Source organism: Homo sapiens, chromosome 15 (assembly GCF_000001405.40).
Source record: "Homo sapiens chromosome 15, GRCh38.p14 Primary Assembly".
NCBI lineage: Eukaryota > Metazoa > Chordata > Mammalia > Primates > Hominidae > Homo > Homo sapiens.
Window position 1 is genome coordinate 66649265 of NC_000015.10, and position 20487 is coordinate 66669751.

Consider the following 20487-nt stretch of genomic DNA (forward strand, 5'->3'; position numbering starts at 1 on the left):
AGCCTCCTAAATTGCTGGAATTACCAGCATGAGCCACTGCCCCGATCAAATGTCCTTTGATATCCAAGTCATGTGTGTTCTTTGTAGGAAGGTTGGGAAGCCTTAAGAAACAAACAGAAGCCCCAGTCTTCCACGTTGGAGGGAGTTTTTGCAGAGGTTTCTGTGCTTTGTGTCTCCTCCTCCTGTCTCTGATGAGCTGGCCCTTGCTTTCCGGGCTGCTCACAACTCTGCTCACAGGAGACAGCTCTGCCCCGACGGTGGGGCAGACGAGGGAGCTCCGAGCTGGGAGGAAGCTGGGTCCTGAAGGGGCTTTTTCTCTGGCCTTAGCTCCTGTGCCTGACCTGGTTCACTTTCAGGAGGTTCTTAGTCACATGTACCCTAACGCTCTCTTGCTGAAGAAGCATATTATTTCTTGCTTTCTGTGCTACCTGCAAGCAGTGGGTAGCAAAGAACTCTGGGTTCCTGCATGTTTATTAGATAACTAACCAATCAAATAAAACAAACACACCAACAATTCCTTGCAGGCCTGTTGGGCAGAGCTAGGCTTTGCTTGGGACACCTGTCTTCAGTTGCCCTTGAATCTGAAGGCTTTAGACAGAGTAAACCTGATGACTTACATTATCTGTGAGGAAACTGTCAGACTTCTCCTTCTGCAAGAGCAATGCCAGCCACACCTGGGCTCTGCCCAGGCCTCAGTCTCCCCATCTGTTACATGAGGGGACTGGACAAGTTGATCTCTTTAGCCTTTTCCAGTGCTCACCCTGTAGTTTCAATGATTACACTGTCATACCTCCTTGCTTTGGCTCCTGCAGTGCCCTCTGCCAGGGATACCCTGCCTCTTGTTTCTGCCTGGCCCACTCCTCCTCACCTTTCAAGACCTGCTTCAAAGGCCACTGCTTCTGGGAAATCTTCCCCAATCTTTTCAACTAGAAGAGTTCATGCCTTATTCTGGAATCTTACCTCATAGTGCTCGTATCTTGGCAGTGCACTGAGAAGTATGTCCTGGCCCACCCAGGAGCAACCTGAAATCAGGGGCTGTTTTGCTCAACACTGAATCCCAGCACTAGCACAATGCCTGACATTTAGAGGGTGCTCTGTGAATTTGTGGAATGAATGAGTAAATTAATGAGGGAGTCAATGGCTGGATGACCCTAAAGGTCAGTGGCTTGGGAGGCCTCCCCCACTAACCATGTCTCAGCATCTTGGTAAAACTGGCCGGTAGTTGGTATTTGATGCGGCTCAGCTGGGAGGGCTGGGTGAAGTGCATGTACCCATTTATTTGGTTTGGCTGGTCTGTTGCCTTGTACAATACAGCCTTAGTCTGGGGAAGCTCATGGGAGCCATGGGGAAGTGGGACAGGGAGGGCCCACAATGGTCTGAAGATTCTGGCTGCCTGGGTCACCAGCCATCTGGGCCAGCCTCCTGGCCGTCTGACTCATCTCCGGCGGCCAGGGCACAGAGATGACCCAGCCAGTGCCAGAGGTCACCAGGCCTGGCCAGCAGACAGAAATGACTCCTGAGAGCCACTGCTCCAGCCCTGGACCTAGAATACAGACAGGGAAACTGAGGCCTGGAGAAAGAAAGCCCCTGCCCCAGGACTCATCATCGATGTGTGGAATCATAAAAGCTGAGTGGGGTGGGAACTCAAAGGTTACTCTGGTCTAATTCTATATTTATCTTTTTTTTTTTTTTTTTGAGACGGAGTCTCACTCTGCCCCCAGGCTGGAGTGCAGTGGCATGATCTCGGCTCACTGAAACCTCCGCCTCTCGGGTTCAAGTGATTCTCCTGCCTCAGCCTCCCCAGTAGCTGGGACTACAGGTGCGCACTGCCACACCCGGCTAAGTTTTGTATTTTTAGTAGAAATGGGGTTTCACTATGTTGGCCAGGCTGGTCTCAAACTCCTGCCCTCAAGTGATCTGCCTGCCTTGGCCTCCCAAAATGCTAGGATTACAGGCATGAGCCACCACGCCTGGCCTCTACATTTATCTTGAAAAATGGGGGTGCCACACACCAAGTGAGTGTCACCATGACTGCCTTTTGTCTTGTGGTTGTTGCATGTCAGACATGAGGCTAAGCACTCCACTCTAGATTAGTGTTCATTTTATAAATGAGGAAACTGTTTCAGAGAAGTTAAGCAACGTGTTAAAGATCACACAGCTGCTAAGTGGTATAACTAGGACTGAACTCTGTGCTAGGCTGACGTTTGTGCTTATACTTCTGACTGCTTGGCAATACTGCCTCTTTGTTGCCAGATGTGGACTTGTGGATAAATTATATTCTTTGATTTTTTATCAAAATTTCTGCATTTTCTAATTTTTCTTCAATAACTATGGAATACTTGTAAAATAAAATCAGCTACAGCCTTGGCAATATGGCGAGACCCCATCTCTACAAAAAATACAAAAATTAGCTGGGCGTGGTAGTACTTGCCTATGGTCCCAGCTACTTGGGAGGCTGAGGCAGGAGGATTGCTTGAGCCTGGGAAATCGAGGTTGCAGTGAGCCATGATCATGCCACTGCACTCCAGAGTGAGACCTGGTCTCAAAAAAAAAAAAAAAATCAGCTAAATGAAAATAGCAGTTGTGTATGAGTTTGTATGCATGTGTTTTAGCGATTTTTTCCAGTAGTGATACATTTATGCAGCCCTAAGTATCTCTAGGCATCTCTTTATACCCTCTCCCAAACCAGCTGTCTTCAAAACCAACCCCCTTCAAAAATTATCAAAGAGAGACCCCTCAGCCTTCCCCACAACTTAACTGACTGCAAGGTCACCAGTACCTTTTGCAAACACAGACCCAGCATGGTCAGAATGTTTCTGCGCCCAGGTGCTGAGGCAGCAGGGAAAACATTGGCCTGGGAACCTGTGATCTGCGGTCTGGCCTGTTGCCTGCTCTGGAGCTCTGAGAAAGTCACTGCCCCTCTCTGGGCCTCAGTTTCCCCATCTGTCAATGAGTTAGACCAGGAGAGCTCTGAGGACCCCTCCTGACCTCGTGGTCCTGTTTGCAGAGTGTTCTGTAAACCTCAAGGTAAGATAAAGGCACCTCAGGTTATCTCACATCTCTATGGCAGTAGGAATTTCAAATAACTTTCCCCCCACCAAGTAACTGGCAGGCCAGCCACTCTGGGGAACAGCCCTGTAGGCAATCCTGCCAATGTGTGTTTGTGAACAGAGTTCATCGAGGTCTTGCTTTGTGTAAATAGTGTGGAAACACAGATACCCTCCCACGCTATAGCCCTGGCTGCCCACCAGGTGATTGGGTTTGGATGCTGTATCTTGGGGGTTGACCTTTAAGGAGGCAGGCAAGAAGTCACTGTTCAGCATGTGCATCTCTTCTTGGAGGATCTGTAGTTTATCAGGACTCTGGGGAGGACAATGCTTATGAGAAAGGAGTGGAGGTCTGAGGGGGTACTTCCAGGATAAAGGATGGGCAAAGAGTAGTGTTTTCCTGAGGCCTCCCAAAGCACTTCCATGTGGACCAGTCTGGTTGGCATGAAGAATCTGGGCCAATGGGGATGTCCTCATCTATAAGCAAGCTCCCCCTGTGATCATCCTGCTGTTCCAGCCTGGCACTGTGCTACTCTCTGTTTGTCCCTGATGTCCTGTTTCTGTGGCTATGACTCCCTGGAAACAGGTCTGTTAGGCCAGACGTTTTCCTCCACAGTGGCCCTGACCATATAGAAAGGGCACAATCTTGGCTCTCCCATCCACCACCAACACCAAGTTGGAGAAAGACAGGGAGCAAGTGGAGCCAGGAGTCTGGGGAGGCTTCCTGGAGGAGGTGGTCTCTGACTAGACAAAAGAAACAGGAGACCAGGACTTGGTTCTGAGGATGATGGGGAACCAGAGAACCAGGCCAGAGAGGAGGACGGAAGACAGATTTGTGTTTCAGAAAAGCAGTGTCTGTGGGGAGGGGGAGGAACTCACGAACTTGAGATATGAAGGCAGACTGGTGGGATCGGGTGTGGGTGAGAGAGGCAGTGGGAGGGGTCAGGGATGCTCCTAAGTTTCTGCCTGGGGGAAGGGGCAGGGGAATCTCAACATGTCCTTTTAGGGCAGGTTGCTTTCAAGGAGGCCAGGGAGAGCCAGGCGGAGTGTCCAGTGTGCAGCTAGATGAAGGCATTTGATGTTTTTGAGTCAGTTGTGTCCAGGTGGTAGTTGAATCTGTGAGCAAGGGTGAATCTTGAGACAGTGGGAAGAGGGAGCCTGAAGCTGGGGTGTCCCAGTGTTAGAGGCAGGGTGATCAGAGGGGGAGGGGGACCTGGCGATCACGAGCCCTAGGACACACAGACAAAGGCAGTTCAGAGAGGGAGCATCCCGCAGGGCCCAACTGCACACAAGGTTGTGTGGATTTGGCCACAGGGAGGCCACTGATGGGCCTGTCGAGGGCAGGTCAGTGGAGGGTGAAGCAGAGGCCAGATGGACCCACTGAGCCCGAGGCCCTGGCATCTCTCTCGGGGGGCCCTGCCACAGCCTCCCAGTTGGTGTCCCTGCTTCTGTCCTCACCCTCCAGTCCATTCACCACACAATGGCCAGAGGACTCTGAAAAACACACCCGGGTCATGGCACTCCCCGCCTCCGACCCTCTCTCTACCTCCTCGCCACCACCCCTGACGTGGACCACTGAGGCCCATGCCTTCTGGCTTCTGCCCTCTCCTTTCACGTCTTGGGCCCCTGCTCTGAACAAGGGGCCTGTTTTTCGCTCTCAGATCTGTGGGGGTCTCCTCTGGCTTCAGCACCTCCACCCAGAAGACCCTCACGGCCCACACTCTCACCCTTCACCTGGGTCAACCCGCCCTCAGATCTGAGCAATCAGTGTCTCCCAAGGGAAGCCTCCCCGAACACCCGCTCCCTGCGCCCACATAGTTCAGGTTCTCTAGTTTTATACGTGCTGTGCCACATACAAAACACTCCTCACAGGCCTACCTAAGTTTTTAATCACGTGCCTTATCTGCCTTTCTCATTCGAACGTGAACTATTGAGAGGGACCGGGGCCAGTTCTGCTGTGTCCTCCATAAACTGCAACCAGGCATGGCACCTGGCATGGAGTGGGTGCCCAGTACATGGGAATGAATTAGTGCTAATGAATGAGGACAAGGATACAAAGGGATTAAAGAGAGTATATAGGACAAATGTTGTCACTGAGACACTTGCATGAGAAGCTGGAAAAGGACAGTGTGATTCTTGGAGGGGGCAGGGGGTTTAACCACCTGGTGCCAGCCTCCGTCAGGCTTCCTGTCTATATTAAAAAGGTAACGATCATAATCGTTGGGCACACAGTGTGTGGTCAGTAGATGCTGGTAAACAGCCTCGCACCTGCTTCCGAGGTCTTACAGCGCAGTTCAGGCTGGGCTGAGGGTGCGGTCTCATCCACCATCCTGTCAGGACGGTGAATCTCCCCGACCCCCAGCAGGACCAGCTCAGGGCTGGGCTCTCCCACAGTCCAGGAGAGCCCACGGTGCTGCGGGGTCGTAGGACCTTGGCGTCAGGCCACTCCATTCCCAAGTTCCCAGGGACCCCTGCCCTCCCCAAACTGGAGCACCAGGCGCGGGACAAAGGAGGGGGCGCCCGGCATCCCTGGCCTGTCTGAGTAGGTCGACTACTGCCCCCAGCCTCTCTCTGGGGCGGGGCAGGGCCCTACCAGGGTGAACCCGGGGAGGGCATCCCGGCTCTGAGTGGGGCGCATCAGGGTCGCCCCCACCCCCTCCCGCGGCCCGCCCCTCCCGCGCCGCCGGATGTTTGAGTTTGGTTTTTGTGATCGAGCGGAGCTGGGAGGGGCCGCCCGGGAGCCGCCGCCTTATCGGGCTGTCCCCGCGCTGTCTCCCGCTGCCCCGGCCTCCCAGGCTGGCGGCCTCTCCCCCCACCCGGCTCCCGGCCCGGCTCCGCGCTGGCGGGCCGGTCCCTCTGGGCTCCTGGAGGGCAAAGCTGGGGGTGGTGGGGTCCTGCAGAGCGGGGCCGAGCCCGCCCGCAGCGCCTGGGGCCTGGGGAGTGGGTGGTAGGGTAGGACTGGTGTCACGAAGACGCCCCGAGGGCAGGAGGCCCTAACCACTCCCTTGGCAGTGGATGTGGGGAGTGGGAGGAACTGGAGGGCTTTTTTTTTTTTTTTTTTTTTTTGGAGATTGCCCCATCCCTTTTTTGTTTTGTTTTGTTTTTTTGTTTTTTTGAGAGACTGGTCTTACTATGTTGCTGAGGCTGTTTTCAAACTCCTGAGCTCAAGCGATCCTCCTGTCTGCCTTCCAAAGTGTTGGGATTACAGGTGGGAACCACCGCGACTGGCCCCCATCCCCATTTTATGGAAGAATACCCAGAGCTCAAAAAAGGACACCAACCGGCTAAAGCCACCCCCAGGCGCCATCAAGATCCTCCCCAGCCCCGGCCTGGAACGGCTTTCCTCTCCCGGGGCCCGTTGCCCGTGGCAAAGAGGCGAGGTCTGCTGAGCCCCGGAACATGCTAACCTCCAGTGAGGCCTGTGGGGGCCCAGGCCCCAACACAGTGAAAAATGATTGGGTTCCTCTCTCTGCTCCCAGCCACACTGGCCTCCTTTCGCTCTGGCTGGTCCCTCAGCCTAGAATGCTCTCTTCATCTCGGCTTACAGAAATCCTGTCTCTCCAGGGCACCACCCGAGACTACCTTCATTCAGCCCCTAGAGGATGGAGGACTAGAACCTCACCTATGAAAAAGAGCAAATACCACCAGAGGACAATCGAGTGAGGGTTCTGAAGCTTGGGGTTCCCTTCGTGAAGTGGGGAGCTGAGATGGCAGAAGACACCTCTCCGCCTCCTGAAGCAGCCCAGGAGGTTTCAGGTGAAGACACCTGAGATGGGAGGAGGTGGTGTAACCTGACATCCAGGATCTAAGGGTGTGGTCAGCCCTGCAGGGCCCATACCCAAAGGTGAATCTGAGCCCAGATTTCATGCAGCCACTCAGCAGTCCCCACAGTGGTATCCAGTGGCTGTGTGTCAGAGGGTGGGGCTGCTGAGCAGGGAGGGTAAGATTGGAGCAGGCATTGTGGAGTCCTGGGGGAGGAGGGAAGTCAGGGACCATCCAGGAGGGAAACTTTCAGCTGCTCTGGAGTGGTTAAAAAGAAGAAGGTAGGAACAGGAAGGTAGATTCTGGCACAGGCAAAGGTCTGGGGGCCCACGAGAGGAATTTGGGGGCAGGGCTTTAGAAAGATGGAGGGATGGCTGGTGTCGGTGGAGATGTCAGGGTAAGCTGGGGCCCACTGGGGAGACTCTTTGTCGTTGTTGTTGTTGTTGTTGTTGTTGAGACGGAGTCTCACTCTGTCGCCCCGGCTGGAGTGCAGGGGTGCGATCTCGGCTCACTGCAACCTCTGCTGCCTGGGCCCAAGCGATTCTCCTGCCTCAGCCTCCTGAGTAGCTGGGATTACAGGTGTGTGCCACCACGCCCAGATAATCTTTGTGGGTTTTAGTAGAGACGGGGTTTCACCATCTTGGCCAGGCTGGTTTTGAACTCGTGACCTCGTGATCCACCCGCCTCTGCCTCCCCAAGTGCCGGGATTATAGGCATGAGCCACCGTGCCTGGCCGGGGAGACTCTTAACCCCAAGGCAACGACAGAGGAACCTGTCTCACATTACTCAACTGACTCCCACATTCATGAAATGGTAAATCATAGGTGTTATGCCCATTTTATAGTCAAGCAAACTATGGCCCAGGGAAATGACTTGGCCAAGACTATGTCAGTAACTAGGAGAATTGGAATTTGAGCCCAGATCATCCTGTCACAAGGGCCCAGGCTGCTGCCTCCCTGCTACCGCCTCTGGGGAGTGGCCTGGGGAGAGGCCTTTGGGTTAATTTACTCCAACCTCCTCCACTCTGTTTTTGTGGATGAGGACACAGAGGGCCTGAGAGGAGCCAGGCTTAGCCCCACTGTCCTTCTTCCTAATGTGACACCATCTGACATCCTCCCAGGGTTCCCAGGCCAGGAGCTGGTTAATAACACAGATTTCCCTCCCCTCCGTGCAGCCTCCTGCTCTCCCATTTAGTGGGTCCTGGGTGGGGCCTGGGAATCTGTATTTTTGGCAAGCTTCTTGGTGGTTCTGTGTCAGCTGCTTGCCCTCAGGCATTTGGGGCCCATAAACTTTTCCCTCCAGCCTCTCACTGAGCCCCATCTCCGCTGGCTTCCTCCCTTCCCCCTCAGCTTACTCCCCAAGGGCACACATTCCCCCCATTCCCCTCCACTTCTGTGCACCCCAGGCCCTTCCTCTTCAGGCTCCCCCTCTCTCAGAAAAGTGAAAACACATGGTTTCCTAGGCAACCACATCCCTCCTCCTAGCTTGCCCTGAGACCTCCCAGCGTCTCTCCCCCGTTCAGAGGAATATTTCAAATACCAGCCTTGCCAGCCTCACTGTCAGCTGGGGCTGACAAAGGCTGAGTCCCCGCAAACTCTTCTCTCTGCAGGACAATAGCCCTGTTCCCCTCCAACCTAGAGTCCTGGGATCTCAGGAACAAGTTCCAGGCCATCACCTTAGTTACCCCTGAGGCCCACTCCGCTCACTGTCTCTCAGCAGAGAGGCCTGGTGCTATTTGGCCTTAGAGATTTGTTTGGATGGGGATACTAGAGCCCAGAGAGGGAAGGGACTCACCCAGGTCACACAGCAAAACTGTGGCGTGACCAAGGGACTCCAGGAAACAGAAGGGAGGATCGGTTGAGCACCTACTGCCTGCCAGGCACCGTGCTGAATGTTCTGGAAACAGAACTTGTTATCCCTCCCCATAACCCTGTTAGGTCAGTTTTTATTCTCATTTTATTGTTGAGAAAACCAAGGCTCAGAGAGGTGAAGTGCCTTGCCCTGGGCCACCCAACAAGTGAATGGCAGAGCCAAGTTTTAGAAAGTTGGGTTTGTCTCTCCACCAAGGCCACAGTCTTTCCAGTGGCCCCTGCTGTTCCCAAGGCTGGGCAGGGGTTGGGGGAATTACGGGGCTCTGCGGATTCCTTCCTGCCTATTATTTTTACATTTCCTCATTAGGAGATTTTGGCTGAAGTTCTTTGGGGGCCGGGCTCCAGATGAGTTCCTCTCTCCCGCGGCCTCTCCCCATCTCTCAGCCCCAGATTCCCTGGCCAGTATTTCCCATCCCAAGACATCTTGAACCAGATGGGTAAGGTTAGAGAGCTGCCTCTTTTTTTTTTTTTTTTTTTTTTTGGAGACTGAGTTTGGCTCTTGTCGCCCAGGCTGGAGTGCAATGGCGTGATCTCAGCTCGCTGTAACCTCTGCCTCCCAGGTTCAAGCAATTCTCCTGCCTCAGCCTCCCGAGTAGCTGGGATTACAGACACCCACCACCACACTCAGCTAATTTTTGTATTTTTAATAGAGACAGGGTTTCACTACGTTGCCCAGGATGGTCTTGAACTCCTGACCTCAAAGTGCTGGGATTATAGGCGTGAGCCACCACGCCCGGCCGAGAGCTGCCATTTTTGCAAGTCACGACTTCTCTCTGGGCCTCAGTTTCCCCACTGGTAATATAAGGAAGGTTGGAATAGAAGACTTTGAAGACCCATCCTAGCTCAGACATTCTTGAATTTTCACATCAAGTGTATGTGTGTGAATGTGTGTGATTGCGTGTGAAATTATAGAGGATTAGGGGTGTGTATGTGTGATTACTGAGCAACTGTAATTAGAAGTGTGTGACTGTATGTGGGGAATGGTGTGTAAGTGGGTGTAATTGTATGTGTTAGGGTGTGTGTGTGTGTGTGCATTATATGTGGATGACAGACTAGGTGTGGATGGTTGGGAATGTAGGTGTGATTGTGTGACTATATATGTGTATGGGAAGGGTGACTGAATGTCTATATGTGTGTATTGGGGGTGAGCATGAGTGTATGTACATGTGTGGGTGATTGTGGTATGTGGATCTGTGTGCAATTCGGACTGTCTAGGAGTATGTTATTGTGTATAATTGTGTGCACATGTGAGTGTGTGTGTGTGACTGCATGGGTGATTTGGAGTGACTGTGTCCGTGTGTGTTGTGTGTGTTGGAGGGCAATGAAGCTTCATCTCAGCCTGGACCTGATTCAGGACCTGGATGGGGACCGAACCCTCTTCCTTGACCTACTGATGGGTATGTCTGGGCTGGGGCAGAGCAGGGGACCCTGTGGGTACCCAGGATGCCAGCAGGCCAGCGGAGTGTGTTCCCCCTGGTAATTAGCTCCAGACATGGCAGCATGGCCTCTCCCTGACAGGGAGCCTGGAAGATGCTGGAAACGTGTTCAGGCCCCAGCCAGGTCTCTTTGGGGGAAAAAAAATTAAAGGAGGAGAAAAAAAAGAAACCCAAAAGACAAATCTTTATTGAAACATTTTGTGACACTCACACCAAGTAATTGATTTCCTTATTAGTAGCAGATTTTTCTCCCCGCCTCTTCTCTTGCCTGAACTTATAAAAGCAAAAGAGGTGGAAAACCAGTCTAGTACAGACCCTGGACTGAGTCCTGTCCCTCTGCCCTTCCTAGAGTAGGTCAGCAAGGGTGCAACATTTGCTTTTTCAGGTCTAACTATAGATAGAAGGGCAACGATCACCTGGGGGACCAGGTTTCAAAAGCCTGGGGAAAGCCCTCTGTCCATCCCTCAATTTCCTCTTCTTCACCTCCAGCTGCTATGAAATCTGACCATTAGTGAGTCATTCCATTTTCTTTCTTTTCTCTCTCTCTCTTCCTTCCTTCCTTCCTTTTCTCCCCTCCCCTCCCCTCCCCTCCCCTCCCCTTCCCTTCCCTCCCCTTCCCTTTCCTTTCTTCCCCACCCCGCTCTCTCTCTTTCTTTTTTCAGACAGGGTCTCACTCTGTTGCCCAGGCTGAAGTGCAGTAGCATGATCATGGCTCACTGCAGCTTCAAACTCCCTGGCTCAGGCGATCCTCCCACCTCAGCCCCTGGAGAAGCTGGGACTACAGGTGTGCACCATCATGCCTGGCTAATTTATATATATATATATGTATTTATATATATATTTTGAGACAGAGTCTTGCTCTGTCACCCAGGCTGGAGTGCAGTGGCGCGATCTCAGCTCACTGCAAGCTCTGCCTCCCAGGTGCAGGCCATTCTCCAGTCTCAGTCTCCCAAGTAGCTGGGACTACAGGTGCCCACCACCGCACCCAGCTAATTTTTTGTATTTTTTAGTAGAGACGAGGTTTCACCGTGTCAGCCAGGATGGTCTCGATCTCCTGACCTCGTGATCTGCCCACCTCTGCCTCCCAAAGTGCTGGGATTACAGGCGTGAGCCACCGCGCCCGGCCAATTTTTGTATTTTTTGTGGAGATGGGATTTCGCCATGTTGGCCAGGCTGTTCTTGAACTCCTGGGCCCAAGTAATCTGCCTGCCTCGGCCTCCCAAAGTGTTGGGATTACAGGCGTGAGCCACCACGCCCAGCCATTCCATTTACTTTGGGCTTTCCTTCACATCAGAATGCACGTGTGGGCAGCTCCCTAAGCACCCACCCCTTAGTCGTTTACACAGAGCTCATGCAGTGGACTCTGGGAGCCTCCTTTCCGCCTGTAAAATGGAGGGTTCCGTTGTCAATGTCACAGGGTGGCTGTGGAGACTAATTGAGATCATCTGTGTGACTCCCGAAGCCCGCTGTAAATGTAGCTGTTCCCATTATGTGACAGTGACCTTCTCACGTGTGGCACAGCCACCAATGGCACAGTTGAAGGCCTGGGAGTTCTCAAGGGGACTAGGCCTTGCACTGAGCAGAGCAAGCAGGGCATGCTTCAGGAGAGGTGGTTAAGGTCCCTCTTGGGAGACCATTCCCCTCCAACTAGAAAGCGAAAGCTACCTCTCAGTCTGGGCCTGTGGCAGGTTGTGGCTCACTCTAAGAGTTCGTGGAACAGGAGGGGAAGACACTTTACCCAAACATTCCAACAGATGCGTTAGGTGTGTTGTTATCCCCATTTGTCAGAGGAGGAAACTGAGGCACGAGGGGGTATACAAGTATACCAAAGAGCACCCAGCTATGAAAGGGGAGGCAGGGATTTGAACCTATATGCCATTTATTTAGGTAAAAGCAAGGGCAGCCCCTTCTGTGGAGATGCACAAACCTACGTGTGTGAATATCTGATCCAGTGCTCCCTCCTCCAGTGCCGTGGCTGCCTGGCTCCTTCCCCAGGCCCCAGCCCTCCCCACATCCAGAAATCATAAAGGCACAACAGGGGCATCCAGGACCCTGCTATGATGGTGGATGAAGGCCTAGACCAGGAGCCCAAGGCCGGGCTGGTGTCCCTTGCTGTGATCTTGTGACTGCCTTCTCACATGGGGTGGGGGACAGCGGCTGGGAGCCGGAGTCCAGGCTGGGGAGGCAGGCCTGCCGTTTGACACGTCCCCGTCCATTCCATGCGGACTTCCTGGGAATGACCAGAGGCCTCTATGCAGTTCCTGTTCCCAGCGGCTCACAGTCGCCAGGCCCAGGGAGACAAAACGTCCCTGAATGCGGTGGGGCAGGGAACAATATGGGGCGGGCGGAGGAGGGCCACAGGAAGTGTGTTAGGGACAGCCGGAGAGCTGGCGTGGGGCTGGGGGTGACTCAGGGACTTGTGACTTGATAAGGTACGATGACTCTGAAGGAAAACAGCCGGAGTCCAGGGAGGGCGCCGAAATGGTGGACAGGACGGGGTTTCTGGCGCCTGTGCGGACCTGAGTTCTTGAGTCCCCATAGGTCTCCCTGCAGCAAAGAACCTTAAACAATATCCAACCAACCACGTTACAGTCCCTGGCTCTCTCAGGTAGGGATGATGATCCTGACCTCACTAAAGAGGGGACTGAGGGTCAGAGAAGTGAGATGACATTCACCATTCCAAGATCACACAGGAATGTGCAATGGTGCCAGGATACACAGCAGGCCAGTCTCATTCCAGGGCATGTGTACCCAGCTAGGCTTCCTGGCACTCAACCCTGACCCTTGTGGTCCCCCAAAACTAGACACTCCTGTATTTGAGCCCAAAGCCTCTTACTGGGTCTTCACATCCTTGCTTGCAAAGCCAGAGCCCCCATCATACCCCACCAAAGACCCCCAACGAACAGGACCATTTTGCCATTAGAATTTAGAGTTTAAGAAAATGTTTGAAACTGGGGAAAAGAACACCTCTTAGCTCCCAAATATAACAAGAAAACTGCAAGTTAAATTAATCATCACAGTTAAATCACATTCACGATGGGATCTGTGGGTTTAATATGCCTGATATGGAGTGGGGATCTCAAAACTAAGAGCGCCAGGGTGGAGGAGAGACTCCCAACAGCCCTGGCCAGGCCTGGCCCTGCAGCCTGAGCGTTAACACCAGCAGTAGTGTGCTAGGACTGGGAGGCTCCACCAGCTATTATCCAATCAAGTCACTTCTCAGAGCCTCAGTTTCTTTATTAGTCAAATGGGACCATAGTTAGCTAATACTGGGTTAATGGGAGGGTTAAATACAATAATGTGTGCAGGGAGCCAGGCCCCATAGTCAGAGCTCAGCTATTGTTCTTGCCTCCTCAGGCGGCCCTGCCCAATTTCAGGAAGTCCTTTTTGGCTGGAAGCTTCTCAGGATGAAAGAATGTTGGAGAGAGAAGGCCGTTAGAAAGAAAGCAGAGCCCACCTCTCACATGGGAGGGTGACTTCTGAAACTCAGGAGGCCCCAGGCCTTCAGCTCTGTCCCCGCCACCATTCTCTGCCTACACTTTGCCTTTCCAGCTTCACTTTTCCAGCCTCAGGCTTTGATTGAGTGCACGGCCTTCCCACCACCCCCACCTCCGCACCCCGACCCCACCAGAGTGCTGGCAGCAGAGTCCAGGTCAGGTCTATCTCTGTATTTCTTTTTTTCATTAAAAACAAAAACAAAAACAAAAACCAGCTCTGTTGAGGTGTGGTTGGCATACAGTAAACTCCACATACTTAAAGTGCGCAATGTGATAAGTTCTGACACATGTTTACACTCATGAAACCATCGTTATAATCAAGAAAATGATCATGCCCATTGCTGCCAAAAGTCTCCTTGTGCCACTTTATAATCCTTGCCTCCCTTTCTGCAAACTCATCCCCACTCCAACCCAGTCTCCAGGTGACCACTGATCTGCGTTACATTACTATACATTCGCTGGTTTTTTAAAAATTATTTTTTTGAGACAGGGTCTTCTGTGTCCAGGCTGGAGTGCAGTGGAACAATCATGGCTCACTGCAGCTTTCACCTCCTAGGCTCAAGCAGTCCTCCCACATCAGCCTCCCAAGTAGCTGAAGCTGCTGGTGATTTTGTGTGTGTGTGTGTGTGTGTGTGTGTGTGTGTGTGTGTGTGTGTGTGTGTGTAGACAGTGTTTCACCATGTTGCCCAGCCTGGTCCCAAACTCCTGGGATCAAGTGATCTACCTGCCTCGGCCTCTCAAAATGTTGGGATTACAGGCATGAGCCATTGCACCTGGCCTGTGTATGAGTCTTTATATGAACATAAGCAGCTTTCATTTCTCCTGGGTAAATACCTAGGAACTGATGGCTGGATCATAGAGTTGATATGCTTTAACTTTCCAAAGAAACTGCTAAGCTGTTTGACAATTTTGTTGTACCATTTTCATTCCAACCAGCAGTGTGATAGAATCCCAGTTGCTCCATAGCCTCACCAGCACTTAGTATGATCAGTTCTTTTGGTTTTAGGCATTCTAATAGGTATGTAGTGATATCTCATTGTGGTTTTAATTTACATTTCCCTAATGATTAATGATATTGAGCATCTTTGTATTTGCTTACCTCGTACTTCTTTGGTGAAGTGTCTGTTCAAATTTTTTGCCTTTAAAAATAACCGGGGCCAGGCACGGTGGCTCACACCTGTAATCCCAGCACTTTGGGAGGCCGAGGCGGGTGGATCACCTAAGGTCAGGAGTTCAAGGCCAGCCTGGCCAACTTGGTGAAACCCTGTTGCTACTAAAAATACAAAAATCAGCCGGGTGCGGTGGCAGGTGCTTGTAATCTCAGCTACTTGGGAGGCTGAGGCAGGAGAATTGCTTGAATGGAGGCAGAGGTTGCAGTGAGCCGATACTGTGCCACTGCACTCTAGCCTGTGTGACAGAGCGAGACTCTGTCTCAAAAAAAAAATTATTTTTTAATTTTTATCTTATTTTTATTTTTTGTACAGGTGGGGTCTCCCTATGTTGCCCAGGCTGAACTCCAACTCCTGGGCTCAAGCAATGCTCCCATCTCAGTCTCCCAAAGTGCTGAGATTACAGGTATGAGCCACTGTGCCCGGCCTTATTTGTTTTATTATTATTGTGTTTTAAGAGTTCTTTATATGTTCTGGGTATAAGTTATCAAATATCTGATTTGCCAGCATTTTCTCCTAGTCTGTGGCTTGTCTTTTTATTTTCTTAACTATGTCTTTCAAAGAGCAGAAGTTCCACATTGCTAAAATCCAACTTATCATTTGTTGTCTTGTATTGACTGTGCTTGTGTTGTGTATCTGAGAAATCTTTGCCTAATCTGAAGTTACAAAGATTTTCTCTTATTTTTTCTTCTAAATTTTATGGTATTAGGTTTTACATTTGGGTGTATTATCTATTTTGAGTTAAATTTTATATATGGTGCAAGGTACTTCAGGTGGTGTTTTGTTTTTTTTTTTGCATATGGATATCCAATTATTCAGTACCCCACCACCCCCATTTTTTTGTGGGACAGGGTTTTGCTCTACTGCCCAGGCTGGAGTGCGGTGGTGCTATCATAGCTCATTGCAGCTTCCAACTCCTGGGCTCAAGTGTTCCTTCCACCTCTGCCTTCTGAATAGCTGGGACTACAGGTGCACACTACCGTACCTGGATAATTTTCTCCTTCTTCTCCTTCTTCTTCATTTTTTTCATTAAGAGGGAGTCTGACTATGTTGCCCAGGCTGGTCTCAAACTTGGGTTCAAGTGATCCTCTTGCCTTGGCCTCCCAAAGTCCTGGAATTACAGGTGTGAACCACCATGCCTGGCCAGCACTATTTATTGAAAAGACTATCCTTTCCCCATTGAATTATCTTGGAAACTTTGTTAAAAATCAATTGGCCATTTATGTGTAGATCAATTTCTGGACTCTGTGCTCTGCTTCATTGGTCTACTTGTCTATCTTGAGGGCAATGCCGCACTGTTTTGATTATTATAGCTTTATAATAAGTCAGACTTGTTTTGGCTATTTTAGACTATGCATTTCCATATGGATTATATAATTAGCTTGTCAATTTCAAGAAAAAAATGCCTGCTGAGATTTTGATTGGGATTGCATTGAATCTATGTGTCAATTTGAAAATAATTGGCATTTTAGTAATATTGAGTCTTCTGATACATGAAGACGGTATATCTCTCCATTTATTTATTTATGATTATATATGCTTTAATTTTCTATTCACAGAGTTTTTTAGATTTCACTATATAGGCCTTGCACACCTTTTGTCAGATTTATCTGTTTTTAACATTTTAAATGCTATTGTAAATAGTACTGTTTTTGTTATACATTTAGATTTCTGATTATTGACAGTTTCGGGTAACAGGAACTGGATTTACCCTGTCACCTGAAACAACTGAAAAAACAGACAAGGGCTGGGTGTGGTGGCTCACACCTGTAATCCCAGAACTTTGGGAGGCCAAGGCGGGCGGATCATGAGGTCAGGAGTTCGAGACTAGCCTGACCACCATGGTGAAACACCATCTCTACTAAAAATACAAAAATTAGCCAGGTGTGGTGGTGGGTGCCTGTAATCCCAGCTACTCAGGAGGCTGAGGCAGGAGAATTGCTTGAACCTGAGAGGCGGAGGTTGCAGTGAGCTGAGATTGCACCACTGCACTCCAGCCTGGGCAATAGAGTGAGACTCTGCCTCAAAAAAAAAAAAAAAAAAAACACCTGACAAAATAAAAGAAACAAGGATTCTAAAAACACTGTATGTCAGGCAATGGAGGATATGATACCTGAATGATAGAAAAAAGATGAGATGAGCTACCATTACCCCAGCTTACTGCCGGGAGAGCATTTGCAGGCCACAGCAAAGGGACGGTGAACCCAGGCAGAGCCCAGCGGTTGCTTTGAGTTGAGGAGATGGAACTGAAAGTCCAAGGAAGTCAAGGTAGCTAGGATTCACAGAGAAGGGTCCTGGAGAGAAGAGACGGAGAGCACTATATAGGAAGGGAAAGTCACAGTCTCTTCTAGTATTCAGCTGAGTAATGACCAGCAAATGCATGTGAGAAAACTACTTGAGGCCAGGAAAGAACTCTAAAAGATTAGAAGGAGCAGTGCTTGGAGCTCTCATAAGACTCAGAATAGTGCCTGTTCCCAACAGCCAGAATGTAAAATAGCATAACTCATGGGACATCAGTTACAGCCCCACAAAAGGTCTCATCTCAGTAGTAGGGAAACAACCCTAGACTAAATGCTACTCTTGTCCTGCCTAATAAAGCTTAAAATCAAGACCTAAAAGGATCAAACTCTTTCCAAGTGACTTAACCACATCTCATAATTAATCTTAAAATAATTTTAGGCCGGGTGTGGTGGCTCATGTCTGTAATCCCAGCACTTTGGGAGGCCGAGGCAGGTGGATCACGTGGTCAGGAGTTTGAGAGCAGCCTGGCCAACATGGTGAAACCTCGTCTCTGCTAAAAATACAAAAATTAGCTGAGCGTGGTGGCATGCACCTGTAATCCCAGCTACTTGGGAGGCTGAGGCAAGAGACTGGCTTGAACCCAGGAGGCAGAGGTTGCAGTGAGCTGAGATCGTGCCACTATACTCCAGCCTGGGTGACAAGCAAGACTCCGTCTCAAAAAATAAAATAAAATAAAAATTTAGAAAATAAAATAATTTCACTTAACAAGGTAATATCCATAATGCCTGGAATCTAATCAAAATTATCAGGCATTCAAAGGAGAAGGAAAATAAGGCACACAATGAAAAGAGGGTCATTAATACATAATAAATAAAAGGCATTAAAACAGCTTTTATAACTGGATCCCATAAATTCAGGAAGCTAAAGGAACGACTGAACATGTTAAAGTGGAGATATAGAAAACATTAAAAAATTCAAAGGAAACTTCTAGAGATGAAAACTACAATATCTGAGATTAAAAATATACTGAATAAATGACGGATAACCTATGCTTGAGGAAAAGTTACAGTGAGGAAGCTGGGTCATTTATCTGACGTCCAGGACCCTGCCCAGCTGGGTGGTGCAAATACCTCACTGTGAGAAGCAGGGTGGCAGGAGAATGAGTGTATAATTCAGAGCATGTGTATGTAGGCTACATGTGAGACATTGGGCAAGCAACCCCACCCATCCAAAACTCACTTTCCTGCATTTTAAAGTGGGGGTGAGAACCTCTCCATGACCTTGCGCTCAGGATGAGTGGGATGTTGGTAATGGGTGAAAATGCTCTGAGGGGTCACTTTCTTCTTGCCAAATGGTCAACTGCAAGTCCTTGGCCGGCCCCATGTGCTGTCCTCCTGGAGGGCTGAGAGGGACTTCTCTGACGGAGGCATGTTCCTCCTATCTGCCCCAACACTGGAGACTTTGAGGAAACTGAGGCCCAGGCTGTCCCACTGTGCAAGTTTGAGGCTGTTCCAGTGATTTCACAGACATTTAGGGATGCGGAGGTTTAAGTAACACTTGTGGGGTGGTCAGAATAATGCCCCTGCAACTGGTCCACATCCTAATCCCTGGAACCTATGGAACCATTCAGTTACATGGAAATAGAGAATTAAGGTTGTGGATGGAATTAAGGTTGCTAATCAGTAGACCTTAGATTGGAAAGATTATTCTGAATTATCTGGGTGGACCCAATGTAATCACACAGATCCTGAAAAATGGAAGAGGGGGGCAGAAGAAGAGTCAGAGAAAGGGATAGGATAAGGGAAGCAGAGTCTGGGTGAATGCCACGTGAGAGGGCTTGGTTCCCTATCACTGACTTTGAAGATGGAGGAAGGGCCCACGAGCCAAGGAAAGCAGGCAGTCTCTAGCAGCTGGAAAAGACAAGGAAATGGATTCTCCCCTACAGCGCCCAGAAGATATAGAAGCTTACTGACACCTTGGTGTTAGAGAATCATGTCAGACTTCTTCTTTTTTTTTTTTTTTTTTTTTTTTTTTTTTTTTTTTTTTGAGACAGTCTCGCTCTGTTGCCCAGTCTGGAGTACAGGTATGATCTTGGCTTACTGCAAGCTCCGCCTCCCAGGTTCAAGCAATTCTTCTGCCTCAGTCTCCCAAGCAGCTGGGATTATAGGTATGTACCACCACACCTGGCTAGTTTTTGTATTTTTAGTAGAGATGGGGTTTCACCATGTTGACCAGGCTGGCCTTGAACTCCTGACCTCAGATGATCCACCTGCCTTGGCCTCCCAAAGTGTTGGGATTACAGGCGTAAACCACAGCCCCCAGCCAGACTTCTGACCTATAGAACTGTAAGATGATACTTGCGTTATTTTAAGCCACTAAGTTTGGGGCAATTTGGTAGGGCAGCGATAGCAAACTAACATATTCCAGAAGTTACCGCCCTGCCAGCTCTCTCCCTGTGCTGGAAGCCCCAGAAGATTTGGGGATTTCATGGGCTTGGGTTCCATAGGCTTTCATCCAGTTGTCAGGCTTCAGGTCCACTGATGCTCCATCTGGGCATGCTGGCTGTGAGGCCCTGCAGGACTGTGTGTGATCAGAAAGAGTTGCTGGCCAGCCCATCAGGAGGCCAGACTTGTTCCAGGCCTCAATTCCACCCATGGGCCCATTTGGGAGCAGACCTGCCAGTGGCTGCATGGAGGAAAGAACACTGGCTTTGGAGTCTCAAGGGCCTGAATCTAAGTTTTGGATTTGCCCTCTACCACGTGTGTGACCAAGGGTGAGTTACGTAACTTCTCTGTGCCTCAGTGTCCTTGGCTGCAAAATGGGGATAATGGTACTCACCTCACAAAGTTGTTAGAAAGAGTAAATGAGTTCATACATGTAAAATGTTCAGAACAGGGCCTGAGACTTTTTTTTTTTTTTTTTTTTTTTGAGACGGAGTCTTGGTCTGTTGCTCAGGCTGGAGTGCAATGGCGTGATCTCGGCTCACTGCAACCTCTGCCTCCTGGGTTCAGGCGATTCTCCCGCCTCAGCCTCCCGAGTAGCTGGGACTATAGGCGTGCACCACTATGCCTGGCTAATTTTTTTTTGTATTTTTGGTAAAGAGGGGTTTCACCAGGTTGGTCAGGCTGGTGAGACTTAGTGAATGCCTAAAAAGTGTACATTGTAACTGGTATTATCTGTATTAAGATGACCACATCATAGTTGCTGTCTTTAGGTGGTGAACCATCTAGCCGGGAGTCATAGTTGTGTGGGGAAATAAGTGCAGAGGCGGGACGGGGAGCATACCGTGGGAGACAAGGATCATTCCTCTTGAAGTTGGGGATTCAGGAAAGGCTATAGATCCAGTGAGGCTTAAGCTGAGCCTTGGGAGGTGAGCACATCTCTGCTGGACAGGTTGCGGGGTGGTGTTGGGGGTGGTGTAGGAGCACTCCTGGCAGAGAATGCATCTTGGACTAAGCTCAGGG

The 20487-nt window shown here is 50.2% G+C and overlaps 1 long non-coding RNA gene across 1 annotated transcript in view; it reads left to right on the forward strand.

Annotated features, from left to right (window-relative positions):
• Positions 1 to 20487, forward strand: part of LINC01169 (long intergenic non-protein coding RNA 1169) — a 103609-nt gene that overhangs the window by 67075 nt on the left and 16047 nt on the right. The window contains exons 2-3 of the long non-coding RNA NR_110372.1: positions 15098 to 15188; positions 19077 to 19190. This is a non-coding gene — a long non-coding RNA (long intergenic non-protein coding RNA 1169). The remainder of the gene's footprint in view (positions 1 to 15097; positions 15189 to 19076; positions 19191 to 20487) is intronic.